The sequence below is a fragment of the Homo sapiens genome, chromosome 7 (assembly GCF_000001405.40).
Source record: "Homo sapiens chromosome 7, GRCh38.p14 Primary Assembly".
NCBI lineage: Eukaryota > Metazoa > Chordata > Mammalia > Primates > Hominidae > Homo > Homo sapiens.
This window is the reverse complement of record NC_000007.14, coordinates 48,146,369-48,154,125: the sequence shown is the minus strand read 5'-3', so window position 1 is coordinate 48,154,125 and position 7,757 is coordinate 48,146,369. Positions and strand designations below refer to the sequence as shown.

The 7,757-nt window shown below is 41.7% G+C and overlaps 1 annotated feature.

Annotated features, from left to right (window-relative positions):
* Positions 6,874-7,514: an enhancer, noted in NCBI's record as "OCT4-NANOG-H3K27ac hESC enhancer chr7:48186209-48186849 (GRCh37/hg19 assembly coordinates)". NCBI's record gives its function as "activates a minimal SCP1, AML or CMV promoter by ChIP-STARR-seq in naive H9 embryonic stem cells {active_cell/tissue: H9 hESC(naive)}" and the evidence as "EXISTENCE:reporter gene assay evidence [ECO:0000049][PMID:30033119]".

Sequence of the window (7,757 nt, the reverse complement as noted above, 5' to 3'; positions counted from 1 at the left end):
TTAAAGAATCGGGAAGCTAGAAGATAGAGCAATAAAAATCATCTAATATGAACAACAGAGGGAAAAAGATGATTGAGAAAAAAAAGCATAGCCTGAGGAATGTATGAAACCATACCAAAGACTCTAACATTCTGATCAATGATGAGCCTGAAGAAGAGGAGAAAGATATTAGCACAGAAAAAAAAAAAAAAAAACAATAAAGAATACAGTGATGCAAAACAAAAAGAATAATTCATGAAAGAAAAAATTATAATTTGAATTTTTCAAATTCAAACATGAAGAGACATATCAGTGAAGAAGATACACATTAGCAAATAAGACCATGAAAAGATGTCCAACATCACTAGCCATCAGGGAAATACAAATTAAAATCAAGCTGGGATATCACTACACAAGTCTTAAAACAACTAAAATAAAAATTAATGTAAATACCAAACGGTAGCAAGGATGCAGTTAAATTAGATATCTCATACATTGCTGGTGAGATGACTAAATGGTATGCCCACTCCAGAAATAGTTTGGTAGTTGCTTTAAAAATTGAGCATACAGGCCAGGTACAGTGGCTCACGTCTGTAATCCCAGCACTTTGGGTGGATTACCTGAGGTCAGGAGTTCAAGACCAGCCTGACCAACATAGTAAAACCCTGTCTCTACTAAAAATACAAAAATTAGCTGGGTGTGGTGGCACGTGCTTGTAGTCCCAACTACTCAGGAGGCTGAGGCAGGAGAATCACTTGAACCTGGGAGGCAAAGGTTGCAGTGAGCTGAGAGTGCACTGCACTCCAGCTTGGGCAACAGAGTCTCAAAAAAAAAAAAAATTGAACATACAGGCCAGGAGTGATGGCTCACACCTATAATCCCAGCACTTTGGGAGGCCAAGGTGGGCAGATCGCTTAAGCTCAGGAGTTTGAGACCAGCCTGGACAACATGGCAAAATCCTGTCTCTAAAAAAAAAAAAAAAAAATTAACTGAGTGTGGTGGCAGATGCCTGTGGTCCCAGCTACTCAGGAGGCTGAAGTGGGAGGATTGCTTGAGCCCAAGAAGTTGAGGCTGCAGCGAGCTGAGATCACACCACAGCACTCAAACCTGGGCAACAGAATGAGATGTTGTCTCAAAAATAATAATAATAAAAATGAAAACTGAACATACCCTTACCATATAATCCAGCAATCATATTCGTGAGCACTTATTTAAACAATGAAAACATGTTCACACAAGATCCTGTACATGAATGTTCACAGAAACTTTATTAGTAATAGTGCAAAACTGGAAACAACCAAAATTTCCTTCAATAGGTGAATGATTAAGCAACCTGTCTCCATACCAATGAAAATGAATGGATGGCCGGACACAGTGGATCACGCCTGTAATCCCAGCACTTTGGGAGGCCAACATGGCCAGATCACCTGAGATCAGGAGTTCAAGACCTGCCTGGCCAACATATTGAAATCCTGCTTCTATTAAAAATACAAAAATTAGCCAGGCATGGTGGGCGCCTATAATCCCAGCTGCTTGAGAGGCTAAGGCAAGAGATTCACTTGATCCCAGGAGACGGAGGTTGCAGTGAGCCGAGATCATACCACTGCACTCCAGTCTGGGCAAGAGAGTGAGACTCTGTCTCCAAAAAAAATAAAAAATAAAAATAAAGGAAATGAACAGACTATTGATACATGCAACCTAGATGAATCTCAAGGATATTACTGAATGAAAAATGTCAATCTCAAAAAGTCACATACTATATAATTCCATTTATATGACAGTCTTAAAATGACAAGAGTATTAAGACGAAGCACATATTAGTGGTTGCCAGGGATTAGGAATGGGGGTGTTGCACATGACTAAAAAGGGCTAGCGTAAGGGAGATGTTTGAGGTGATAGAATAGTTCTGTATCCTGATTGCAGTTAGATGAATCTGCATGTGTGATAAAAGCGCACAGAACTGTACATGCACATTGTGCTAATGTCAGTTTTCTGATTTTGGTATTATGCTACAGTTACATATGATATAACCACTGGGAGAAACTGCAGGAAAGTTACATGGGATCCCTCCATATCATCTTTGCAACTTCCTGTGTCTATACTTAGTTCAAAATAAAAAGTTTTTTTAAAAGGGTCATAGAACAGTAAATCCAAAAAAGTGAACTGTATGTTAAAAAAAAAAAATTACAAAAACAAGACTTGCAGGCAGAGCTTCAGTCTTCTCCTGTTCTGGTGACCAGTTCTCACACACATGGAACTCACAGAGAAGAATTGAATATCCAGATTAAAAATCAAAACTCAACTGATCTGTCAAAGTAGTATCCACCTCTTTCCATAGAACTGGTACAGGAGTTCCCACGTGACTCCATGTTTGCCAAAAAACACATAGGAAGAGGTGTTCAACTGCAGCTTCACTGAAAGTTTTCCTAACTGTTGAGAAGAGAACACCAGACGAGATGTCTTTGTTTTGGATGTGACATCTGTAACAGCCATGGCCATTCACCAAGCACAAAAACAAAGTCAATCCACAAAGGAAGGCAGAGTGAGGAGAACCACAGAGAAGTGGGATTGGGGCCCGGTCCAACACCACACTGATTCTGAATCCACTCTCCATCTGGACCCCTTGTAATGTGACATAATTAACTTCTTAATTGTGAAGTCAGTCAAAGTTGGGATGGTTACCTGGAGATGAAGCCATCCTACATGAGATGGTAAGAACCTTCATTAACAGAGAACTCGCTGGATTTTCCTTGGTTTTGGAAGTTGTTCCCAAACACAAGTGGGTATCAGAATCACTTGCAGGTGATTAAACCATAGATTACTCAGTTCCATCCACAGACTTTCTAATTTCTTAGGTCTGAGGACCAAGGATTGCATTTTTAAGAAGTTCTCAAGTAATATTTACATTGTTCTTTCAGAGCTACACATGGAGAATCACTGTTTTGGACTAATTGCTTCAACTCTTTCCTGTTAATTCGAGCTCCCCTGCAGGGCAGTGAAATTGCTTGGCAGGAACACACCTGAATCCCATGTGATTCAAGGTAACTCAATCCCAAAGGCAAAAAGCATAAGGGAGTCATTTACTTTCCACAGTAATTACCCCCACCCCAGGGACAACATCCTCTATGCCATATGATAAATAATTCTTACATGAATAAAATTATCACTAAGCAAGCCATTCAGATTGTGATTATTTGGAGATTAGCAAGAATAGGATTCATTTTGTGTGACATTAAATAAAAATATCTTGCAGCTAAATCCTGAGAATGACTTGCTCACACCCATTTGGCAAACTGTTATCAAATAGATTCCTATGTTCTGAACACTCTACTAAGCACTGGTTACAAAGGTAAGTTGTCCTCTCTCCTTAAACTCACAATTTAATAAAGGGAAGATTTCAATATTTACGCTATGATGAGGTTTTCTCTAATAGTGGAGAACACAGGGTACTGCCAGACCACAGAGAAAGGAGGTACCCATCTTCACAGAACTCAAGGGAGCCCTGTGTGGGCTTCCATTTGTCAAACAGTCTACAAATAATTTTTATTCAATGATTTTCCTTGATCTTCACAATGACCCTGCAAGGCCGATACGGGCATGAACATTTTTCTCATTTCAGGAAACCTGAGGTAAACTGAGGCTCTGGAAACAGAGCTCACTTACTATTAAAGAGCAGGCAATGATGCAAACTCTGGACTCTGACATGACCCTCTCTCTCCCTTATCCCCAGCCCCTTTGCAGGACATCCCTGTCAACTCCAGTGGTTCTCAGACAGTCTGATCTTTTAAGGATTGCTAAGGATCAAAGGATTGATGATTTCAGCAAACAGCTAGATAATAGGCAGGACTGGCCCATTAGTCATAAAAGATCTGCTTTAGAAAATCTGAGAAATGTGGCTGGGCATGGTGGCTCATGCCTGTAATCCCAGAACTTTGGGAGGCAGACACAGGTAGATCACTTCAGGCCAGGAGTTCGAGACCAGCCTGGCCATCATGGCAAAACCCCGTCTCTACTAAAAATACAAAAATTAGCTGGGTGTGGCGTCACCCACCTCTAATCCCAGCTACAGATGGGAGAATCACTTGAACCCAGGAGGCAGAAGTTGCAGTGAGTGGAGATCACACCACTACACTCCAGCCTGAATGACACAGTGAGACTCTGTCTCATAAAAAGAAAAAGAAAAGAAAAACTGTGAAATGAATAAACTATGGTGGTGCTGTCTTGAGGGTAACTACAGATCAAATCTCTGACTTGAGGGTGGATTTCTGCTCGTATGACATGGAAAGCTGATAACTACCTTTTGAAACAATAGAATTGGTTTTGCTTCAATGGTGGTTGTTTAAAACACGCTTTTTTCTTCATTTTCTCATTTGTTTAAAGAAAATTAAGACCCATTAAGGTGGTACTCTTTCCATTATTAATCTGTATCACTTTAGAGTTTACACAATTTGTTTAGTGACCTTTTCCTTCACTTCTCAATAACCAGCTGGTACTTTTTCTTAATATTCTATTTCATATTCTGGCTCTATAGTATATTTTAATTTAAATATATTAATTAGATACAAAGTGAATTCTTTTGGCTTTTCATATTATGAAATGAGAAAAATCCTTCCAGTTTTGCAAAATTTTTGCTAGACTGAATGCTATTGAAGTTTTCAGCAATTGCTTAAAGTTTAGAGACATTTTACAGATATAACTTTTTAATTATTAAAATTTTTTAAGTTACAGGTTTAAATGTCAGAAAAATATATTATGATCCATTTTTTTTAAAAAAAAGGGAAGGGAGGGAGGAAAGGAGAAAGGGAAAAGGAAAGGAAGGAAAGGATGAGTAGTAGGGAAGAGGAGGGGAGGGGAAGGGAGAGAGAGGAAAGAAGAATGCATGGAGGGAGAGAGGGAAGGAAGGAGGGAAGGAAGGAAGAAAGGAAGGGAGGACTGAAGGAAGGAAGGAAGAAAAGGAATGAAGGAAGGAAGAAAAGGAAAAGGAAGAAAAGGAAGGAAGGGTGAAAGCCATCACAAACAGGGGGAAGGATTACAGGATTGAGGAGGCAAGCAGTTACATAATGCACACTCTGAGGACTTGTAAAAGTAACATCTAGCACTTCAATGCTTTACATTGCCAAGGGTGTTTCAAAACAAAAAGAAAACTGGGAAACAAAAGGGGGAACACACTCCTCTGAAACTGGGCTATGGTATAGACCAAATGGTCTACCCATACTCCCAATCAAATTATAGTAATCTTTCTTAATTTATATGCAAGATTTAACTCTTTGAAGCCCCAATCATTTGATTGCTTGGGGCAAACAATATAATAGGAAACTCGGTCCAACTGTGGCTCATAAGAAGTACAAGTGCTGCCGCATTGTAACCCTGGGTCCCCAGTTTTGGGGTAGCACTGTGAAAAACTACCCACTTGTAACTATTGCACCTTGAATTCCATGAAGAAGCCCAGCACCTGAAAAACAAAAAACAGTTGGATCCAGAGATGCTAGATTTGGAAATGAACTTCAGTGAACTCCCCTCATTACCATACTAAAATCCTCACCCAGGGAGGAGCTTACTCAACTTTTCCTATACATGCGATGTGTGTAGTAGCATGATTAGCAACTGCACCTGCACTGACTTGACTTTACCTCTACATACAATGACTCAGCTCACCAGCCCAGTAAAAGCCCTGTTTCCACCATCGCTCAGGGAAGCACTGCTTTAGGAACTATGCCTGGTGTCCTCCTTACTTGTTACAAATAACAAAACCCCTGTTAAATCCTCCTTGGTTGTGGTCATTGTGACACAGGAGTTAAAAAGAAATTATTTAGGCAGATAGTGAGGGTAAGAATCCTTGGTAAGGTATTCCTTTTAATAAAAAGTAGCCCCCAATTTTTTTTTTTTTTTTTGGACAAGTTCTTTCTCTGTCACTCAGGCTGGAGTGCAGTGGCATGATCTTGACTCGCTGCAACCTCCACCTCCCGGGTTTGAGGGATTCTCATGCCTCAGCCTCCAGAGTAGCTGGGATTACAGACGCATGCCACCACACCCAGCTAATTATTTTGTATTTTTAGTAGAGACAGGGTTTCACCAGTTTGGCCAGGCTGGTCACGAACCCCTGACCTCAAGTTATCCACCCACCTCAGCCTTGGTGAGCCACCAAGCCCGGCCAAATCATTTCTTTTTTTAACAAAGAGCAGCCTGTAAAATCGAGCTGCAAACATAGATAAGCAAGCTGGGAGCTTGCACAGGTGAATGTCAGCAGCTGTGCCAATAGGAAAAGGCTACCTGGGGGCTAGGCATGTTCAACATGGTGGCTCCATCTTCTGTGGGAAAGAGAGTTTCTAGGGTGCCAGATGAGTTGGTCTCCCCTGTGTGAGACACCCAGGGGGAGCCATGGGCGGCCTCTGAGGAGAAAAGTCTCCTTATTGCCTTCATGTCTTTATGCCCGAGAGCATAACAGCTCCGCGGCATTCCACAGGTTGCTCAGGGAGATAACACTCCCTTGAAGCAGTGGAGTATAATCAAACATCTTGGCTCCTCCTGAAACCCACTCCCACCCATTTCAGTCCAGATAACTTAAAGATCTTAGTAGTTTAGACACATGCCTTTGCTCAGGAAATTCACAGAAACCACCACTGCTCTACATCTTATTGAATGACTCAAGAGTTCTCCTTCACTGATTAATCCTTTTCCTCATCCCTTCCTCCCCCTCCCATCTGCCCTAAGAACAAAGAGCTTGTAAACCAATAAATTAGGTGGAGCCCGAGAACTCTGGGCCATGAGCAAGCCTCTGACACTCAGGTCTCCTGAACCTGCCTTTTAAACTCTTATTCTGTCTCTTTCTAACTCCTTTGCCTCCGCTGGACTCAGGGTACCCACCGGGTGGTGTGGGGCTGGTTTTCCCAACATCTTCTCTTTTCTTTGTCAACCATGTGTGCAGTAAGGAGCAGACAACAGGGCGCTGGCCAGGTAGAGAACCCAGCTGCATAATAAAAGATTAGGGTGGGGTGGTCATCTTCTTTGCATGCTATGTAAATGGCACACCTGGTCCAACCAATCTTTTGGCCCCATGTTAATCAGACACTTCCTACTCAAGCCAGTCTATAAGACCCCATGCACTATGCAGTGGTCCAGAAAACCCACTCAGGAGCTCCTCTCTTTCTGCAAGAAAGAGAGCAATTCTCTTTTCTTTTTCTTTTGTCTATTAAACCTCCACTCTTAAACTCACTTTTTGTATGTTCACGTCCTTGATTTCCCTCCTGTGAGACAACGAACCTCTGGTATTTACCCCAGACATCAATGCCACTTCAAGTGAACTGTCACCCACCAAGCAATTGAACCCACCCTTTGTGTGAGTAAAAATCCCTGCCCAAAACATAATCCGTGGAAACCTTTACACAGTTATCAAGGTTGTTTTCCTTAAAGGCTGATTGGAGGTGTCAGGCCTCTGAGCCCAAGCCAAGCCATCGCATCCCCTGTGACTTGCACGTATATGCCCAGATGGCCTGAAGTAACTGAAGAATCACAAAAGAAGTGAATATGCCCTGTCCCACCTTAACTGATGACATTCCACCACAAAAGAAGTGTAAATGGCCAGTCCTTGCCTTAAGTGATGACATTATCTTGTGAAAGTCCTTTTCCTGGCTCATCCTGGCTCAAAAAGCACCCTCACTGAGCACCTTGCCACCCCCACTCCTGCCCACCAGAGAACAAACCCCCTTTGACTGTAATTTTCCTTTACCTACACAAATCCTATAAAACTGCCCCACCCTTATCTCCCTTTGCTGACTCTC